This window comes from Homo sapiens, chromosome 14, assembly GCF_000001405.40.
Source record: "Homo sapiens chromosome 14, GRCh38.p14 Primary Assembly".
NCBI classification, from domain to species: domain Eukaryota; kingdom Metazoa; phylum Chordata; class Mammalia; order Primates; family Hominidae; genus Homo; species Homo sapiens.
Window position 1 is genome coordinate 27,097,764 of NC_000014.9, and position 23,089 is coordinate 27,120,852.

At 36.1% G+C, this 23,089-nt stretch overlaps 1 long non-coding RNA gene across 2 annotated transcripts in view; it reads left to right on the forward strand.

The window, feature by feature from the left end:
- Nucleotides 1–23,089, forward strand: part of LOC105370420 (uncharacterized) — a 129,914-nt gene that overhangs the window by 20,528 nt on the left and 86,297 nt on the right. The window contains exon 3 of one of the 2 annotated variants that reach the window (XR_943662.3): nt 7,948–8,010. The exons of the other annotated variant lie outside the window; for it this stretch is intronic. This is a non-coding gene — a long non-coding RNA (uncharacterized LOC105370420). The remainder of the gene's footprint in view (nt 1–7,947; nt 8,011–23,089) is intronic. 2 annotated transcript variants of the gene reach the window in all.

The window sequence follows — 23,089 nt, forward strand, 5'->3', positions numbered from 1 at the left end:
ACTACCTACCCACTGGAGTGGCCTGCCTCTTTATTTGCTCTGAGCTTGCCCTCCACTTACACAAGGCAGTTCTCAGTTTAGCAGGGAATTTTCCCAACAACTGGTGAGCTAGCCAGGAGCCCACCAAAGAAATAGGCCTGGGGAATAGAGACTCTGTGAGGGGAAATCCAGATTGGCTAGCTGCCTCCATGCTGGGACCAGTGACCCATATGTTTGATGCCTGTGGACCTTTGCATGAGTGCAGAATGCTCTAAAAAGGCCCCAAAGGGTAGTCACCCTATTTGAGGGATAAAAACAGATCATGGCAGTAAAGAAGTCAGTCACAGTCGGTGGCCCCTGTTGTGGGCAGTGCAAGAAACAACAGATACGTGGTTAGCACCAGAAGTGAAGATATGGAACTCATTGGAAAGTAAGACATGTATTTGATGAATTAAGCTATGAGATATAAACTTGTGTTTTGTTAAAGGAAAAAGAGTAATTTTTGCCCTAAAGTAGAATGACTTGTTTGAAAGTGATAATTTAATATTGAATACTAATTCAAGATGGAATTAATATTAGAAGAAACAAACAACTTTTATCTCTATTAGATGTTTAAGATCATAAAACTATGAGTTCAACCAAGGGACAAATGTGCATGTGGAAGTGCTGTGTCCATTACTTTTACATATCAAACAGAAATAAAACAAAAACAAAACCTCCAAAATCATGTATTTACTTCATTAGGTTCTTGCTTTCTCAATGACTGCTTAACATGAAACATGCTGTAAAAATAGTTAACAGGAAATAACTTGATGATGGCTAGTGTTGTTTTGCGTTACAATATGTCGACTTAAAAATAGCTCCCCACATCTCTTTGTTAGCTTACAGCCTTGGAGTTTTGCTAAGTTAAATTAAATAATGGATATTCATCAAATATCTAGATAGTTTCCAAAGAAGATAAAATACTAAAACATTAATTGCTGAGCATAAGTTTAATTTGACATACTTTTGGCATCTTACATGGTGTAGAAACGCTAAGTACTGTATTTTTGGGTCTGGTAATTAACATGAAAAATTGAACTTTGTGGAAGCATACATTTCTGGAAGTTATAAAATGATGTTAATCTACAGAATGCAAGTTCACGATTAGAATAAAATTCTAATTAACGTATGTTAATTAAAACTAGAAATAATAAGGGTGCTTTGTCTTGGGACACAGAGGCCAAGAGATAGAGACACACAAAAAAAACACGTGGGAATGAAAGTGTACGTTTAAAGAAATAATACAGTAAGTAAGAGAAAGATGTGAAGCAAGTAGAAACAACCCAAGAAAGACATTGGAAGAAAGAGGTGGGAGTACAGGAGCCAGGTCTGGATTATCAGTGTTAGGGAATCTTAGATAGGCCAGGCTTTTTGCTCTAGGTAGGGGCTATGGGAGGCTGGGTGACCAGAGGTACTATGGCTTGTGCTTAAAACCCCTGTGAGGCCAATGAGCTCATATTGGCTGCTGTTGTTGCATCCTTTCCTCTTCTATTCAAATATCAGGTTAAGGATGGGTTCCGAGCCTCACACTCACCAAAGACCAGTCTGCAGGATCAGTGGCAATGCCTACCCGTTGCCCCAGGAGGTTTCCCAGGGCATGCAACAGGGTCCTCAACACTATGCTTCACTGATCAAGTCAAATCAAGTAGCACTGGGAGGTGGAAAAAGCAAAATAAAACCAGAAAGACACAGCTCTGCAATCTGCCATGGAATAGTAGCCCATGACTTGACTCTGTTTTTCTCCCCTTCCCCACCTCCAGCATTGCATGGTCACGTTACATCGATGATATCATGTTAACCTCTGAAGATTTTTTTTTTTCTTGTACAGACCACTCTGACCTCAATGTCTGGCTGGGTGGACAAAATGTTGCCACAAGCTATTAGGCTTATAGATGAAAGCCCAGTGGGCCCTATTGCTCCATATGACAGGATAGATGAGCCATCGCTAAATGGCAAACATAGTATGGCAAACAAAGAAAGACATATTCTTGGCTCAGTCAGCCTCTACTAATTGCATTATGGCAATGCATACCTCTTGGGACATCCAGCCAGGAGACAGCCTGTTGTAGTGGAGACTGACTAGCACAGGAATACCCTGTCAGGCTGGATGGGATACTTTGTCTCACAGTGGAAGGAGGACTTCACCTTACTGACCTGGACTCCTGTCACACTGCTAGATTCTGAGCCTGAGGTAAGGAGACACTAATGCAAGGCCACTTGCATTTTGCATAAGGGAGAAGTAATCAGGCTCCTGATCTGGCATATAACAGTCCAGGAAGAGTAATCATGTAGGAGACACTCCTACCTCTCCCAGCAGGCAAGTATGATTTGCTTCTCCTGGGAAGCCTTCCCAGGCAGCTGCTGTTTTGACCACTTGGGACAAATCCTCCATCGTAATCATTGTTGGAGGAGACGATCTACCTTTACAAGCGCCTGCTGGAGTTTTACCTTTCAATCTCTAGCTTCCTCTTGTTGTATCACATGGCATCAAAGATAAATGATCCCACCCATTATAGGAACAGTTATCGTCACATTAGTTTAGAGATTGGGGAAATTGGTGGGAACATTTGTTAATATGCTTACTTCTTTTGCTTTGCGTTTTCTCCTGTGTGTGTCTCTATTGTTACTGTAGACTCATCATGCAATGTGGCACCAAGTTTGTGAATAATGCATCCACCCTCCCTATAAAACCCCTCAGGGAAGCCAGGTACTCTCATGGAAGAAGGGGCTTGTAAGAATATAAGGCCAGTCGGGAGGGGCGGCGTGTTGTGAAAATGTATTCTGGGTACATGACCACAAAGTGAGTTGTAGGATGCAGTCATCAGAAGACCAAATAACTGCTACTTCCTAGAACATCCCTTCCCTTACCCTCCATTCCCCACTTAGGAATGTTGACCAGATTGTGGGAAACCCAAACAATCCCTTTAAGTAGAAAGTACATAGATTAAGAAAGTAACCCTATGACTTATGATCATCAGTGACTTTTTTTTTAAATTTTGTCCCTTTCTCTTTTCTTTTCATGGTATAAAAGATTAGACAAGTATGCATTGCAAGCACACAGATTTACCTAGACATCACCCAATCCCACCTCATATGTAAGTTCCCAACTAAATAAATCTTTGACTACTTAACAATCTGAAGTGGTCTGCTTCTTTCTTTGTTCTGAGCTTGTACTCCGCCTACTGAGGGCGATTCTGAGTTCCAGGAGGACGTTTTCTCAGCAGTTAGCTAAGTGACCCAAATCCAGATTTTCATTTTTATAGAGTCCAAGTCATTAAGAGTCCTTTCTGGGCCATTAGCATTCTTACTTGTGTTAGTTATTACAGTTTTACATTAAATTTACCACATGACATCAGAGAACTAAAACACTCCTTGGAGAATCTCATGGGCTCCAGACACATTCCTTCCTGCCTGTTTTATATAGTTGTAACCCAACTTTCTCTTGATATTCAGAATCAATCACTACATCCAATACATAAAGAGACTCAACTGGGAACTTTTAGCCATCAGCACTCCCAGAAGATGAGGAAATGAATATTTCAGTCCCAAAGGAGTGGTCTGAGCACCACATAAAACATTTGTTCAGATTTTATAATGCCGTAATCCACTTATTTGATATCATAAGTTCTGTGAGCAGTTCTGCCATGATTCTTATTGGTCTCTTTTCCTGGAAAGTAACAGGAAGATTAGTGAGAAGAACTACAGCCCCTATTATTGTTCAGATTTTATAATGCTCTAATCTACTTATTTGATATCATGAGTTCTGTGAGCAGTTCTGCCATGATTCTTATTGGTCTCTTTTCCTGGAAAGTAAGAGGAAGGTTAGTGAGAAGAACTACAGCCCCTACTGCAGCTGGTCTCAAGGCTGAAATTGATACTTATTGTTTTACCATCTATTTGGGTGTATACCAAGACCTTATCCCTTGTAAGTCTGGTTAACCCACCCTTCTCAAGCCATAGCTATTGCACTTGTCCATTTACTTTCAAAAGCAGCCAAATTGATACCAAAATATATGCAAATAAAGATGTGGGTACCAAACACAATCTTTCTAGCCCCTATATCTAATAATAATACTTTCTCCTGATGACCAGGGTCAATTATTCCTTCCAGACTGATGATTCCTTTCCTTGTTTGCCTGTCTTTTCACATAAGAAGCCCTAAGTGGCCATATGATAGCATAGCTTGAAGTTTAGTGGGGCTTCTGCTACTGCCCTCAGGGAAACTTTGTCTCTGGGAACCAGGAACTCTAAACTCATATTGCCCAGATCATGCAGATGGAAAGTACAAATTCCCCAGAAAAAGGCCACAGAATTTGGAAGTGAGTGGAGCCCTTATTACTTTTGTCCTTCATGACCAAACCCATTTTTTAGTCTACCTATTGAAGATAGAAGCATAAAATGGTCATGAATTCAGTATAAATGCGGAGTCTTGAAAAATGTCTTCCCATCTTTGTAAGTTATTGTACCTAAGCTGGTGTCTCAGTTATACCTTTGAAAGGTAGTTTCATCACTCTTTCAGGCCAACAGCTTCTCAGTGGTGAGAAAGATAATAGGATTAAAAGGTCTTATGGTCATATGCCAAATCTCACACCTTCTTTGCTCTAATGTGGCATTAGGTTACATAGGGTCTTGGGTGATACTTCTCATCATCACTTCCAATAACCCACTTGTGTTGTGTTTTTCATTCTTATAACTTTAAGCTTAAGCTAATTAAAGTATCTTAGAGTGGTAAAAAGAAAGGACTAAATATATAGTAAGATATACTTCTACCAATGAAATGAAAAACATATATATTTTTATTACTCTTGAAAGTAAAATCATAGAGGTATCAGGCCTCAGTCCTCTTGGAAGGGACTTCCCAAGAAAGATATTTAGTGCAAATATTGTTTGAGACAACCATCATCAAGGTAGAAGTGTTACTATTGGCTATTACTAATTACTATTACAAATGCATATCTAGATTAATTATCTTCTTCAATTAGAACAAATTACTTCCCTGTTCATAATGAAAAGGACCCAGTGATTTCAACCTGCCATCAGCTGACTGGAAGATTCCTTACTGTTGGTGCCATGGGGAGCTCAGCATTGGTGTCTGCTTATAACAGAATATATTGTGGGGCATTCTACGTTGAATTCCTCAGTGAGGGGAATTGTCACTGATGAGGAGAATTCTATGTCGTTAACCTCTTCCATAACCAAAATTCCTACCACCATGCTATGTTCCACTTCAGTCCATTGATCTCCTGTTAAGTGGATATTATGTGACTGGTAAAAAAGTAGTCATGTATAAACCGCCTGATTTTGGAAAACCTCCTCTGCAGTGAATATTCTCTGGTGAATATTTACATGAGAAATAAATATATTCACAAGCTAAGCCCATTTTGAGAGATCTGCCTACATGGCCCTACTTTAGTCTTGCTAGTCTTAATGTTCCAAACATATTTTTCTCTGACTAAATGAAAAAAAAAAAAACATTAAACACTACCATAAAGCAATGTATTATACTTTTATTATTATTATTATACTTTAAGTTCTAGGGTACATGTGCACAACGTGCAGGTTTGTTACATATGTATACATGTGCCATGTTGGTGTGCTGCACCCATTAACTCATCATTTACATTAGGTATATCTCCTAATGCTATCCCTCCCCCCTCCCCCCACCCCATGACAGGCCCCAGTGCATGATGTTCCCCTTCCTGTGTCCAAGTGTTCTCATTGTTCAATTCCCAACTATGAGTGAGAATATGCAGTGTTTGGTTTTCTGTCCTTGTGATAGTTTGCTGAGAATGATGGTTTCCAGCTTCATCCATGTCCCCACAAAGGACATGAACTCATCCTTTTTTATGGCTGCATAGTATTCCATGGTATATTTGTGCCACATTTTCTTAATCCAGTCTATCATTGATGGACATTTAGGTTAGTTCCAAGTCTTTGCTATTGTGAATAGTGCCACAATAAACATACGTGTGCATGTGTCTTTATAGCAGTATGATTTATACTGCTTTGGGTATATACCCAATAATGTGATGTCTGGGTCAAATGGTATTTCTAGTTCTAGATCCTTGAGGAATCACCACATTGTCTCCCACAATACTTTTATTTAACCATCCCTACAGTAACAGTGGACAGTCAAAAATATTACTTCACATTTGTCTACCTTTATAATGCTCCTTCACTACTGTCCTTCCTAATCATATGAAACTTGTACTGTCACAGCATATTTTGTATAACCATCAATAAATCACATCTGATGTTTTTCCTTAGTCCATCAACCTGTCATAGGGAAGTCTTCACAAATCCATCAGTGTGAGTTGAAAGCAAGGTGGCAACACAGTGGAGTCTGAGCTATGTACAACTTTATCCTGTCCTCTGGAACTACTCAAGTTCTGTCTCATCTCTACTATGTTCTAATAATAGTTGATTGCTTCTATACACTCACGATTTTTTGTTCTGGTAGGACAGAAAGCAAGCAGTTTATGACAGATCGGCCATTTAAAAAAAACCCATAATCTATAATAAAATGATATTTCAATGTGGAATACTAAAGCATGACTGTGCTAGAAGACATAACAGCAGAGGCACTCTGTATGTGTCTGCTACAAATCTAAACTAATGCAGGTGTATTGTGTTAGTGACAAAAATTATGAGCAACATTTACATTGGCAAAAAAATTTTTCTGAAGTATCCAACAACTCTTACTACAGAGTGAAATAATGCACAGTCCTATCATTATTTATTTTTTTGTGTTTTGCTTTAGACGGTAAAAGATAGTTATGTCTGTTCCTAGTTTTTAACCTAAAGTTGACTCTTGAAGGCTGAAAAGAAGTTCAAAATATAGACAGTGCTTGAGTGCGAGAAGTTGAAGAAAAGAAAAGGAAAAACTGTGTGTCAAGAAACATGTGTGCCTGAGAAACTTTCTGGACAGCATATACTAATTTGCTTGATGTGGAAATCTCCATTAAAAAGCCATGTGTTAATAAGACATCACAGTATCTTCAGATCAAAAGGGAGGTTGTAATATTAGTTTAAATTATTCATGGCAAACCGAATGTCCTGGACACTAATTAGTTTAGGAAAGGACATGTGATTAATACTGACCAGTGATAAAGTAGTTGGGATCTACTAAAGTTGGAGGTTTCCATTCGTATAAAAGTAGTCAAGAAGAAACATCCCCTCTTCATTCATCGGATATTGTTGGCTCTATATGTGTGATCATGCTGAGGTCTACATGCTTAGGCTGACAAAACAAACAAAAAAGATAAAAGAAACATGAGCCTTTGATCCTGACAATGGCCATAAATTAACCAACATTTTAATCTGCCTGACATTTTGATTTCTTGTTTCCTGAGATAATATATCCATTATTGTTTACGCCATTTGATTTATAATTTCTATGACTTGCAACTGAGATTATTTTCAATAGTATAGCAAGTGTGGAAAAGTTGTTTCAGTGTTTCATTTATCTTCAGTATCTAGCCTAGGATATAACATCAAAAATGCTCAACAGATGTATGCAAAGTAACCAATAAATGAAATATTTTCACATTCAAACCTAAACAATGACCCTGTTTTATTAATAGATACATGGGAAGAGGTACATTTTTCTTTTTGTCCCCAGAAAGACTCAATCCACAGGGAATAAAAAAGGATGGCTTATTCCATTTAGTGTCCCTAAGATTAAATACTTTTCTAGTATAGAGATGATTGAAAAAAATCATCTCTACATTATTCACAATTCATGTGTAATGCTATTTTTAGAGTGATTATTAATGAAGATGACATAAGATTTTATCTAAGGATTTGCATAACATTAGATTTAATTCCTGATGATAGTGAAGATTGGTTTTTCAGATTTTTAAGAGATTTTCTAAAAATATAAAATGCAATAAAAGCTCACATTTCTAACTGAATTTTATTTTGCAGTGAAAAATAGAACTTATGCACTTCTTGGATAATTCTCTTGGATGGCCTTCTATTAATTTTCTGGTAGGTGACCAATCTTAAGAAATATTGGAGAAAACACAAAGAAATAAGAACTTTTTAAGACTACATTGGAAGTTAATCTTGTTCTTGCTTACTGCAGGATGATCAGCGTGTGTTTTTCTCAGATAAATTAGATGAAGATTTACTCTAAATTCAAAAACCATCATTCAATCTACTGTTTAAATGAAATGCAAAGGAAAGCAGAAAAAAAACTTAAGACAGCACTCAACATATGCCCCCCAAAAAGTCTTTTCACACACAAAAAATTAGAAGAATGGGCCTATCCTAACATAACAATGTTCAATGTCATTGACTGAGTTCAATGACAGAAGATGCCCATGGTATTAGAAAAAAATGTTTCGGCATTTAATGATTCAGTTCTACATTTATTCAGAAGTATAAAAGCACTAGAGATGAAACCTGTTTCATACTAAAATTAGTAATGGCATGTATTAAGTGCCAACACCCTGTCAAATTTGGCAATGCCCCTTATACTGAATGAATGTAGCTTGTTTCTTGGATGCATTTCATGTGTGTTGTTTTGGATGTCATATTAATCTTCCCAGAAGTACTTGGAAAGAGGTAATTTTGTATGATTAGGAGATAACATGAACATCAGAAGAATGATTTTTCAGATTTTTTTTTGCTGTTGTTCTAAGTGTGAATTAGGCATTAAGTTTTAAATGCATTCTTGTTTAAAAATTGAGTATCTTCTATGAGAAACAACAACTACAAAAATTATCATCTTTTCTATAAGAAAATTCATTTCTAAACTTGAACAGTTCAAGTTATTAACAGGCCTTAAAAAAATTAACTATTTGTAAAGCTTTGTGGATCATCTTTTGTTAGAAATGAAGGATACTAATATCTTATGTATCTTTTTTTGTTGTTTTCAAAAATAATCTAATAATGTTTTCTTGAATTCTGCTAAAGCACTCTGTCTCTCTCTATCTCTTCTGTTAAGGTAATATATAGTTAACAAGGTATTAACTGAGTTATCATAAAATGAATAGGATACACCATAGATGACGTTTTTACCTGTTTTCTGTTTTGCTTTGTTGTTAAAGAATGACTTGTGATTTCTGATTGCTAAGTCAATTTAAAATGAGTAGATATTGGCTTATCATACTGGCATTGCTTACATATCTACACATTATCATCACCAGTTATCAGTTCCAACTGGCTGCTGGAAATTTTTATTTTTAATTGTAATCATTATATCAAATGTAATTTTAAGCAATGAAAGGTGAAAAAATGTTACATATGGGACACCAGGAAACATGTTATCAATAAAAAGAGTATAGTTTGCCTTTAGGTTAAATGAACTGTGATCTTAAATATAATAATTTAGAAATAATTTATATCTAAAATATTTTCTCACTCATAAAATAAATAAAATGTAAAATTTTATACATATAGCAACTTTACACCATTTTTTTTTCATTGTCCATTTGGAATGAAAATACTTAGAAGCTGAAATAATTGAATTAATCAAATTTCTTTCTACTTGATCCTATGTAATGATCTGAAATTTAATTTTAAAATTATAAAGCTATATCACTGCACATCACATAGACAGTAAATAGTAATAAGGTAAGCCTTACTGAAAATAAATTTAAAAACTGGATGCAATGTACATATATCTTAAAAATACAATTTACCAAAACTGACACAAGATGAAATAGAAAACCAGAATAGTTCTATATGCATAGCAATTTGAATTAATTATCAAAATGCTTTCCACACAGAAAATTCCAGGCCCAGATGCTTTCACTGATTAAGTCTAATAAACATTTAAGGAAGAAGTTTTACCAATTGTACATAATGTTTTTCAGAAAACAGACCACCAGAGCCCAATATTAAAACTTGACAAAGGCCAGGTGTGGTGGCTCACGCCTATAATCTCAGAACTTTGGGAGGCCCAGGAGGGTGGATCACCTGAGATCAGGAGTTTGAGACCAGCTTAGCCAACATGGTGAAACCCTGTCTCTACTAAAAACATAAAAAAATGGGTGTGATGGCGGACGCCTGTAATCCCAGCTACTCGGGAGGCTGAGGCAGGATTATTGCTTGAACCCGGGAGGCGGCGATTGCAGTGAGCTGAGATTGCACCACTGCCCTCCAGCCTGGGCAATGAGAGCGAAACTCTGTCTCAAAAACAAACAAAACAAAGAAACAAACAAACAACTTGACAAAGACATTGCAAGTTTAAGAGTATGCAAAAAAAAGTAGAGGGGAGCAATTAAAAACACTTTATTTTGTTGTGAAAATACTAACTAAAATCAAGTTTTACTAAAAATACGCTTCCTTGTTGTGTGGTATAAATTCAAATTATTTTTAAGATCTTCTGGCATTCTATTATTTAATTTTTGTGAAACTGATGAAGAAAAATGAAAATTTTGATAGCCCTGTACAAAAATATGAATTATTTGTATTTTTAATTCTGCTGCTGCTGTTTTAAATGAGCCCTGATCATTTGCAATTCTAGTCTTACAAAAATGCACAAAAGACACATAAGCCAATTATCACAAAATATCATCTTTTTTTTCTGTTTTAAAGTGTATAATCATTCTCTACTTATCTGGAAGTTAAATTGCTGATCACTTTCACCATTGTGAAAATAATTTTCTCCTTGAAATATCTGAAAACCTTTTGTAGTAGAAAGTATGTAGGACATTTAATGTGGGTAAGAGCTAAGGAAAGCTTCCTAGAATACCATCTTCATAGTATGTAAATTGTTGTGGTGACAAAAGAAATGTTTATTTTATATGTTATTTAATAAATATATTGAGTACCTACTCTATTCTACAAACATAAGTTTGGGGAATAATTGGTATAGACAAGGATATCAGTATGTTTGCTTAAGACTTCTAGATCTTTTTCTATGCTCTTGTGCATTGTGAATCACCAAGACGGTTATTAGATAGGCACCTATGGACAATATATGATCATGCAATTTCAATGCACAAAATTTTCCAGCTAAGATTGTATGTGGAAGCTAAAATTCAACTTTGTTGTACTTACCAATCTATATGCTGTGCCCTATCGAAAAAGGGACAACTATAAGCTAAAATTCAACTTTGTTGTACTTACTAATCTATATGCTGTACCCTATTGGAAAAGGGACAACTATTTCTAACTAGTTTAAAGTCACTTGCTTTGCCTGACTAGACTGGGGACATTTTTCTAATTGGCTTATCCTGAGCTATTATTTTTACCCATTTGGAACTTAGTAAGGCAAACATTAAAAATCAGAAAAACATATTTATGTGACAATCTTTAGCATGGCAAATAAATAAAGTATTTGGTTTTTAATTCAGTCATCATTAATGTGTGTATGTGTGTGAATGTGCTTCCATGTATACATTTATTTGTTTTATTAACATTAACTATCATAATGGTACTTGGGATAGTAATTTATTAAAATCAACTCAAATATTATTTGTATTAATCCTTAGATTGAAAGTATCCTCAACTCTTATTAGGTACTGATGTGATTTGGCTGTGCCCCCACCAAAATCTCATCTTGAACTGTAGCTGCCATAATCCCCACGTGTCATAAGAGGAACCTGAAGGGAGGTGGTTCTATCATGGGGGTGGGTTTTTTTCCCACACTGGTCTTGTGAGATTGAAAGAGTCTCATGAGATCTGATGGTTTTATAAAAGGGCGGTTCCCCTGCACATGCTGTCTTGCCTGCCTCATGTAAGATGTGCCTTTGTTTCTCCTTTGCCTTCTGCCATGATTGTGAGGCCTCTTCAGCCGTGTGAAACTGTGAGGCCATTAAACCTCTTTCCTTTATAAATTGCCCAGTCTCTGGTATGTCTTTATTAGCAGCAGGAGAAAAGACTAATACAGGTACCATATTGTATTTATATTAATTTTTAATTCTCTAAGATTGCAGGTAATTTTACAAACAGATTAAGTGTTCATTTAAGCTGCATTAAAGGCATTCCATATTAATCTTATGTTCTATTGGGTGGTAGCTAAAAGACAATAGCTTTTTCCATTATACCCCTTTGTTCAAAATTTCCCCATGCTTACTGAAAGCTTCAAATTTTTAACAAATGTTGAGTTTTTTCCACCACATTCTGGACCCAACTTTCTCAATTATTCTTAAGTCTCCTGTCTTTAACACACTTAGAACAAATTTTATGTATTTGTGTATACACATGCACACACATTTTATATATACCTAGCTGATAATAATTTATATTGTGTCTGGATTACCGTTCTATCATCTATCTATCTATCTATCTATCTATCTATACCTTTCATATTATTCTTTTAAGATTTCATAAAAAATTTTCTACTACAAACCCTATTCATCTCACGTTACTCAAACTTTATGATTTTTTAGTGCTAAATGATATGCTATCTTATTGAGGTAATTATCGTATAATTATATATAATACTTCTATAATATTATATAATTAATATAAGTATGATCACTTTGCAATTAAAATGTCCTGGCATTGAAATATTTTACTAGGACAGAGGGTATCCACATAAGGATATCCAAAATGTGTGTAACATGTAAAGAGTAACAATTCAAAAAGCACTCATGTAGCCACAAATTTTTTTAACAGAACAGACATTTATCTTGGAAGTCCACTAGTAGCCTTACCTATGTGTAACAAGAGGTAAATACTCTCACAAATTTTGTATTTTTAATTCTCTTTTCTCATTTTATAGCCCCACCCCAGCTATACTGTTCCCAATCATAGAAGAAAAGCATTTGGTATTTCCCCATTAAGTATGTTTTTCGTGCTGCAGGATTTTCCTTGTGGGGGAGTTGTTTTGTTTTGTTTAGTAGATGCCCTTTATCAGGTTGAAGTTTACTTCAATTATTTTGTCAATGTTTCTTTTTTCTTACTGTTTTAAAATTTAAAATTCTCTCCATTGTGGATACCTAAGTTGAGACTTATCAAGAAAGATGCTGGAATTAGTCAAATGATTTTTCTATGTCTATTGAAAGGATTATATGGTTTTCCCTTCTTATTTTATTAATCTAGTGAATTACATTAAGTTTCAACTGTGAAATCTGAGTTAGATTCTAATAAACTTTATTAAAATAGAATTTACATACAAAATATGCATTCACTTTAGGTGAGCAGTTAAATGAATTCTCCCCCTTTTTAGGTACAATCCCAATCGAGTTTTAGAATATTTAATTTCCCCCAAAGTTCATTCTAGATCCATTACAGTTAACTCTGTACACAGAAAACTCCTTCCCAGATCAGCTTCTGTTATGATTTCTATTACTATAAACTAATTTAATCTGTCCTAGAAATTCACTTAATTGGAATTATACAACTAATAGTCTTTTGTGTCTGATTTATTTCACTCCATATAATATTTTAGAATGTTTTAATGTTGTTTTGGTCATCTGTAATTCATTCATTTTATTGTGAATATCATTTTTTGAGTACTGCAATTTGTTTAACATTTTACCTGCTGATGGCCACTTGCATTGTTTCCATTTGCGGACAATAATGATCAAAATTGTTATACACACTGCTATGCAAGTCTTTGCATGGATATATATCTTCATTTATCTTGGGCCAACACCTGAGAGTAAAATTTCTGAATTATATGTGGTCTGAGCATAAAGTAGATGTTAATCTTTGTTATAAGCTGCTAAGCTGTTTTTCAAAGTGTTTATCATTTAATTTTTTCCCCAGCAATGTATAAAATTCTAATTGTTCCACTTCTCCCTTAGATATTGCCAATCATTTTAATTCCTAGACATTCTAATGAGTATGTACAACTATCTCATGGTTTTAATTTTGATTTATCTGATGTCTAGCAATGTTAAACATCTTCACATGTATTTATTGGCTGAATTATACATATACTAATTTCTGAATTATCTGTTTAAATATTGTGTCTCTTATCCCAGTGGGGGATTTATCCCTCTGCTATTTAGTATGAAGTGTTCTATACATATTTTGAATTCAGGCCTTTTGTCAAGTATTTTGTATTGCAAATATTTTCTCCCAGTATGTGGCTTACATTTTTATTGTTTTAATAGTGGGCTTACATTTTTATTGTTTTAATAGTGCCTTTTGAAGCACAAATTTTAAAAATTAATTCCAATTTGTCTTTTTTTCCTTATGATTTGTGCCTCTTTGTGTATTGTCTTAGAAGTATTGTCATACCACAAAGTCATGATGAATTTCTGTGTTTTATTCTATGTATTTATTTTATCATTTTAAGAATTTGATTTTTCTTATTGTTTCTACTTCTCTTCTCAGGCTTCCAGTGTTTTCTTATTTCTCATTTTGTTTTGTTTTGTTTTTGAGATATGATCTCACTCCAGGCTGGAGTGCAGTTGTGTGATCAGGGCTCACTGCAACCTCCACTTCCGAGGCTCAGATGATTCTTTTTTTTTTTTTTTATTCCAACTTTTCTGTTAGCTTCAGGGGGAACACGTGCAGGTTTTTTACATGAGTAAATTACTTGTCCCTAAGGTTTGGGGTATGAAGGATCCCATCACCCAGGTAGTGAGGACAGTACTCAATAGGTCGTTTTTCAAACCTTGTCCCCAGTGCACCCTCCCCACTTTAGTAATCACCAGTGACTATTGGTCCTATTTGTCTCATCTTTACGTCCATGTGTACTCAATGTTTAGCTGCCACTCATAACTGAGAACACGTGGTACTTAGATTTCTGTTTCTGTGTTAATTCACTTGAATAATGGCCTCAAATTGCATCCATGTTGCTGCAAAGAACAGGATTTTGTTCTTTTTTATGGCTGCATAGTATTCCATGCTATATATGTGCCACATTTTTTTTTAACCAATCCACTGTTGATGGATAACTAGGTTGATTCCATGTCTTTGCTATTGTCAGTACTACTGTTATGAACATATGCATGCATTTGTTTTTATGATAGAATGATTTATTTTCCTTTGAGTATATACCTGGTAATAGGATTGCTGGGTCAAATGGTAGTTCTGTTTTAAATTATCTGAGAAATCTCCCAACTGCTTTCCACAGTGGTTGAACTAACTTACATTCCCACCAAGTGAATAAGCATTCCCTTTTCTCTGCAGCCTTTCCAGCATCTTATTTTTTAATAACAGATTTGACTTTTTAATAATAGCTATTTGACTTTTTAATAATATTTGACTTTTTAATAAATTTTTAATAAAATTTGACTTTTTAATAATAGCTATTCTGACTGGTATGAGACGGTATCTCATTGTGGTTTTGATTTGCATTTCTCAGATGATTAGTGATATTGAGCTTTTTTTTTTTTACATATTTTTGGATGCATGTATGCCTTCTTTTGAGAAGTGTCTGTTCCTGTCCTTTTCCAACTTTTCTAATGAGGGGAGTAGTTTTTTGCTTGTTGAATTAAGTTTCTTATAGATTCTGGATATTAGACCTTTGTCAGATGCATAGTTTGAAATTATTTTCTCCCTTTCTGTAGGCTATTTACTCTATTAACAGTTTATTTTGCTATGTAGAAGCTCTTTAGTTTAATTAGGTCCCATTTGTCAACTTTTGTTTTTATTACCATTGTTTTTCGTTACTTAGTCATAAATTCTTTGCTATGGCTGATGTTCAGAATGGTATTTCTTTGGTTTTTCTTCTAAAATTTTTAGAGTTTTAGGCCTTTCATTTAAGTCTATTTTATCTTGAGTTAATTTTTATATATAGTGAAAGCTAGGGGTCCGGTTTTATTCTTGTGTACACAGCTATCCAGTTATCTCAGCATCATTCATTAAATAGGGAGTTCTTTCCCCATTGCTTGTTACTGTCAACTTTGTAGAAGATCAGATGGCTGTAGATGTGCAGCTTTATTTCTGGCTTCTCTATTCTGTTCCAATGGTCTATGGGTCTGTTTTTGTATCAGTACCATGCTGTTTTGGTTACTGTAGACTCGTAGCATAGTTTCAATAAGGATAAAGTGACTCCTCAGGCTTTATTCTTGTTGCTTAGGATTGCTGTGGCTATTTGGGCCCATTTTTAGTTCCATATAAATTTTAGAATAGTTTTTTTTTTTTTTAGTTCAGTGAAAAATGGCATTGGGAATTTGATAGGAATCACACTGAACCTGTCTATATCTTTGGATGTTATGGCAATTTTAATGAAATTGATTCTTCCAATTCATGAGCATAGAATATTTTTCCATTTGCTTGTATCATCTATAATTTCTTTCAGCAATGTTTTGTAGTTCTCCTTGTACAAATCTTTCACCTCCTTGGTTATATGTATTCCTAGGTATATATATATTTTTCTGGCTATTATAAATGGGATTGCATTCTTGATTTGGCTCTCCACTGGGATTTTATTTACACATAGCAATGCTACTAATTTTTGTAAATTGATTTTGTATTCTGAAACTTTACTGAAGTAGTTTATCAGCTATAGGAACCTTTTGGCAGAGTATTTAGGGTTCTCCAGGTATAGAATAATATCATTAGTGAAGACAGAAAATTTGATTTTTTATTTTCCTATTTTGATACCTTTTATTTTTTTCTCTCACCTGACAGTTCTGGATAGAACTTATAGTACTATGTTGAATGGGAGTGGTGATGGTTGGCATCCTTGTCTTGTTCCACTTCTTGGTGGGAATGCTTTCAACTTTTGCTTATTCAGCATGATGTTAATTGTGGGTTTGTCACAGATGGCTCTTACTAGTTTGAGGTATGTTCTTTCAGTGCCTAGTTTCTAGTGCCTAGTTTCTAGAAGGTTTTTTTTTTTTTTTACCGTGGAGAGTTGTTAGGTTTTATAGAAAGTTTTTTATTCATCTACTGAGATGATCATATGGGTTTTGTTTTTAATTCTGTTTATGTGGTAAATCCCATTTATTGACTTATTGATTTGTTTTTAATTCTGTTTATGTGGTCAATCCTGTTTATTGATTTGTGTATGCTGAACCAGCCCTGCATCCCAGGAATAAAGCCTACTTGATCATGGTGATTTAACTTTTTCATTTTCTGCTGGTTTTGTTTTGATAGTATTTTGTTCAAGATTTTTGCATCTGTGTTCATCAGGAATATTGGCCTGTAGTTTCTTTTTTGTTGTATCTTTGCCAGATTTGGGTATTAAAGTGACGCTGGCTTCATAGAATGAGTTGGGGTGGAGTCCCTCCTTCTCAGTCTTTTGAAATAGTTTCATTAGAATCGGTACCAGATCTTCTTTGTACATCAGGTAGAATTTGGCTATGAATCCATCTGGTCTAGAGCCCTTTTTGGCTGGTAGTTTATTAAACTACCAATTTTATTTCAGAACTCAATATTGGTCTGTTAGGGTTTTGATTTCTACTTGATTCAGTCTTGGGAGGCTGTGAGTTTCCAGGAATCTAACCATTTCTTCTACATCTTCTAGTTTGTGTGCATAGAGATGTTCATAATAGTCTCTGAGGAACTTCTGTATTATCAGTTGTAATGTCACCTTTGTCATTTCTAATCACACTTTTTTGGACCTTTTCTCTTTTTGCCTTTGTTAATCTAGCTAGCTGTCTATCAATAATTAGGTGTATTTTTGATTCTGTCTTTTTCCTCTGAAGATTATTACTTCCTTTCCTCTCCTCTCCTCTCCTCTCCTCTCCTCTCCACTCCTCTCCTCTCCATTCCTCTACGCTTTGCTTTGCTTTGCTTTTGAGACAGGGTCTTACTGTGATGCTCAAGTCATAGCTCACTGCATCCTCAGCCTCCCTGGGCTCAGGTGATACTCCCACCTCAGGCTCCCGAGTAGCTGGGACTGCAGGTCCATGCCTTCATGCCCCGCTAATTTTAGTATTTTTTATAGAGACTGAATTTTGTCATGTTGCCCAAGCTGTTCTCAGACTTCCGGATTCAAGCTATGTGCCCACCTCACCCTAGCCAAGTGCTGGCATTACAGGCATGAGCCACCATGTCTGGCCATTTCCTTTGTGTGTGTGTGTATGTGTGTGTGTGTAGGTGTTTTTCTTGGCTGTACTTGATCTTTAAGTTTTGTTTCTTGGGAAGCAAGTCTGGTCTGATCATTTCAGGTCTCTTTTTCTTCAGTCAAACTTCCTTGAATCTGTTCCACACAGGGGCTTTAAGTGTCAGTCACAGCTATGGGTAGAAACAGTTTGGGGACACCTGTCTCTGGCTCTTTCCCATTCATTATTCCATTTCTATATTTGTAGCTCCTGGCTTCAGTTTTCAGTTTCCTTAGTCCAGAAAAACTATGTTCATTTCTAAGATTTCCTTCCTCTCACCAGCATGTATATTTTGTAGACTATACTTAAATCTAGGCGAAAGTTATGGAAATTGTATCTGGCTATCTAGATACCTATATTTGATCCTTCAAGGAAACATACTTCCAGAGTCTTTCTGCTTCTGTTCAAATAGTTGTTTTCAGTATTATGTGCAGATTTTATATTGTTTTCTGCTTTGGAGTTTATCTGAGAGAGTCTTAGTGCATCATGACCAGAAGTGGTGATTCAATTTAATGTTTTAATTTATTTTTTAACTAGCAAGTATTATAAATTCTGTTACTAATTTCAATAATGTACCTGTGAACACTGATGATTCTGAATAGATAATCATCTGGTCTGGAGTAAAGTCAGTTGCATTTCTTTCTATCAATATTTATACAGCTAGGTTAAATCTATATTTTTTTTAATGAATAGGTACTCCAGTACAATTTTGAATAAAAGTCATGAGAGTGAACATTTTTGTCTTGTTCCTGATCTTAAAAGGAAAGCTTTCTATATTCCACTATGAAATATAATGCTTACTCTATTTTTAGGTGTGTTTTACATGATTAAGAAAGATTCTGTGATTCTTCATTTGCTGTGTTTGTAAAATTGTGAATATATATTAAATTTTATCAAATATTATAATAAATTATTAATGATAGAATTTTTATCTTTTCTGTTTATGTTCCAAACTATACTTATTGAATATCTAGTTATATCCTTGAATTTATCATATAAAATTAGTATTCATTTATTTGTAATTAGTTTTAATTTGTTATTTGTTAATATGGTTTTTTACATCTAAATGAGTGTGTGATTCGTCAATATATTTTCTTCTTTTTTGGGTTTTGTGATTGATATGATACGAGCCTTCTAAATGAGCCAAGGAGTTTCCCCAGTACATCTCTCATATCTAAAGTTGTTTTTGAATTGAAATTCTTTATTCCTTGACTATTTGGTCATTTCAATTTAATTGTTTTATGTTTAGTATTTTATTCATTCATTTAATAATTGTACATTATTGCTAGCTTTTTGTCAGCCTCAAGTTATGGAAAAATATAAACAAAAAAAGACATTATTTTTGCCATCAGGAAGTACAATCTACACATGTCTGTTTCCCCGCAGTAAAATGTAAGGTAGGTGAAAATAAGAACATGCAAATTATTTATAGACATTTAGAATGAAAGGATAAGCCCTGAAAAGATTTAAGTGAATTCTACCTAAAGAGAAATGGTGTTTTCTTTTCCTTTTTTTTTTTTTTTGGCAAAATCACATACAGATTCATCTAACTTTTGCAATGTAGACAGTCTAATGTACCTAGAGCAAATTTATATTTAGTTTCTTTCATTAATCAAATAAAGAGTGAAATAATTCTCTTTTTTTCTCATTAAAATATACTAGGTAACTATACGTTGGAGTGAATAGAAGTGAGTAATATTACCTGTGCTAAAGAAGTAAAGACCTGTGGAAAATTACTCTTTCTGTGGCTTCGGCATATTTGTGATCACATTGATTATCTTGTTCTCAGCTGTAATATTTTGTTCTGTGGGTTTGAATTTTCATCATTTTGTTGCAGACTAATTATTATTTTATTTAGAAACTTATAGAAAGTGCTTTATTTTTCTTTAATTCATCTTGAAGTATGAACAATCTTATAATCACAAAATTACCTAGTTTGCTATTTAAATCTTTGTTGTCAATTCTGGTGTGGGTTACAATTCAGCTTACTGATTCTTCTGAATTGGTTTTGATGGTAAGAGGTATATTAGTCAGGGTTCTGTAGAGGGACAGAACTAATAGGATATATATAGAGAGAGAACTAATAGGATATATATTATATAATAGGATATATAAATACTAATAGGATATATAAATATATGAGTTTACGAAGTATTAACTCACAGGATCACAAGGGCCCATAATAATCTGTCAGCAAGCTGAGAAGCAAGAAGAGCCAGTCTGAGTCCCAAACCTGAAGAATGTGGAGTCCAGTGTTCTAGGGAAGGAAGCATCTAGCACAGAAGAAAGATATAGGCTGGGAGAATAGGCTAGTCTAGTCTTTTCACATTTTTCTACCTGCTTTATATTCTGGCACTGCTAGCAGCTGATTGGATGGTGCCCACTCTGATTAAGGGTGTCTGCCTTTCCCAGCCCATTGACTCAAATGTAATCTCCTTTGGCAACACCCTCACAGACACACCCAGGATCCATACTTTGCATCCTTCAATCCAATCAAGTTGACACTCGGTATTAACCATCATAAGTCCACCCCTTGTCAACTTGAATCCACACACATCACCTGAGACTATACATAATCTTCAAATAAAGACAATAATAAGGTCATAATTACGCCTAACATAATACAACTATCCTTTGTACAACCAAAAATCCACCAATCCCCAACTCAAATACTATTACATAAAGTTAACAATACTTAAATCCTGATATGAAGTCAATAAATCTTATGTCACATGATAAAATAAAAAGGAAATAAAATGAAGATATTTTCTTAGTACATGTGTATACATGCACAAGCGTGTTTTTAACAAAAGAAGGAGGAAATACTCATGGTAGTTACAGTCCTCATTTCTGCACCTGGTCACGTGGTCATAGCTGCTATCGATGACTACCCTCTTCTACTACCCATTCTGTATTCCCTTTGTCTTCAGCAAGCACCTCAGCAAGTTGTGGTTTCTTTCCTGGTGGAGTGACCCAAACCTTCATTCCTGAGGAGTCTGGGCCATTTGTAGTCCTGCCTGGATTGGGCTGTTGTAGTTTCCCATTGACCGTAATCACAGGGCATGTTAATACTAAGAGACACCTTGATGGATCTCCTGTATTCCATGCATACTCTTCCTTAACTCTGTTGTGGAGTAGTAGACTGATTACCTCTTGATAGTCTGGATCAATCACTCCAGCCAACATTGTAACTCCATTCTTAGCCTGTTGACTTAAAGGTAAGAGGACCCCAAAGTGTCCAGATGGCAATCTTAACTTCCAGTTTAATGGAATCATTGTTGTGTCTCCTGGTGGCAGCGTTCCTCCCTCTGGAACTAAGATCTCTAGGCCAGCAGAAGGTAATGTCGCAGGAACAGGAAGCAAAAATTTTACTACTGGATCACTAGGGGTGATGGGGAGTGGTGCTACTTCCAGTTCCACCCCTTGATCCTGGACCCATGAATCCTGGCTATGGGAGAAACAGCACCATATATTGGACTGTGATTCAGAGCATACACAGCGTTCTGGTGAACTTTGTCCCAGCCCTGCAAAATGTTGTCACCTAGTGGGCATTGTAATTGTGACTTCAAAAGGCCATTCCACTATTCTCTCAACCCAGCTGCTTCAGAATGATGGGGAACATGGTAAGACCAGTGAACTCTATGAGTATGAGCCCACTGCCACACTTCTTTAGCCATAAAGTGAGTGCCTTGGTCAGAGTCAATGCTGTGTGGAATAACATGATGGTGGATAAAGCATTCCATGATTCTGCGGATGGTAGTCTTGGCGGGAACAGTGCTTACAGGATAGGCAAACCCATATCCAGAATAAGTGTATATTCCAGTGAGGACAAACCTCTGCCCTTTCCATGATGGAAAAGGTCCAATATAATCAACCTGCCAACAGGTAGCTGGATGATCACAACCCTGAGGAATGGTGCCATATCGAGGGCTCAGTGTTGGTCTCTGCTGCTGTCAAATTGGGCACTTAGCAGTGGCTGTGGCCATGGCAGCCTTGGTGAGTGAAAGTCGTGTTGCTGAGCCCATGTGTAACCTCCATCCCTGCCACCATGGCCACTTTGTTCATGGACCCATTGGGAAATGACAGGGGTGGCTGAGGAAAGAGGCTGAGTGGTGTCCACAGAACGAGTCATCCTATCCACTTGATTATTAAAATCCTCCTCTGCTGAGGTCACCTGTTGGTGAGCAGTCACATGGAATACAAATATCTTCACAGTTTTTGACCACTTAGACAGATCATCCACATACCTCTTCCCCAAATTTCTTTGTCACACATTTTCCATTCATGCTTCTTCCAAGTCCCTGACCATCCAGCCAAACCAATGGCTACAGCCCATGAATCAGTGTATAATCACACATCTGGCCTTTTCTTTTTCCAGTGCACAACCAGGTGCACTGCTTGAAGTGCTGCCCACTGGGAAGATTGTCCTTCACTGTTGTCCTTCAGGGATTTCCTAGAAAGGGGCTATAGTGCTGCAGCTGCCCACTTTTGGGTGGTGCCTGCGTATTGGGCACAACCATCTGTGAACTAGGCCTGAGTCTTCTCTTCCTCTGTCAGCTGATCATAGGGAACTCCCCATGACACCATCAGTGCAGGCTGGGGGAGAGAAGGCAGAGCGGCAGGAGTGAAGACCATGGGCATTTGAGCACCCAGTTCATGATAGGCAGTTCAGGTCACATGGTGACTTGATGACCCATAGTCAAACGCTTACTACCAAAGACAAGTAACAGGCCAATAGCTGTCTCTCATAAGGAGAGTTGCTATCTGAAGAAGATGGCAGGGCCTTGCTGCAAAATCCTAGAGGCCTCTGCTGTGATTTACCTATGGGGGCCTGCCTGAGGCTCCAAACAGCATCCCTATTTGCCACTGACACCTCAAGCACCATTGGATATGCTGGGTCATAGGGCCCAAGTGGCAGAGCAGCTTGCACAGCAGCCTAGACCTGTTGCAGAGCCTTGTCCTGTTGTGGACCCCACTCAAAACTGGCAGCCTTTTGGGTCGCTTGATAAATGGGCCAGAGTAACACACCCAAATAAGGGATGTATTGCCTCCAAAATCCAAACAGGCCCACTAGGCATTGTGCCTCTTTCTTGGTTGCAGGAGAGGCCAAATGCAACAACTTATCCTTCACCTTAGAAGGAATATCTCAGTAGGCCCCACAC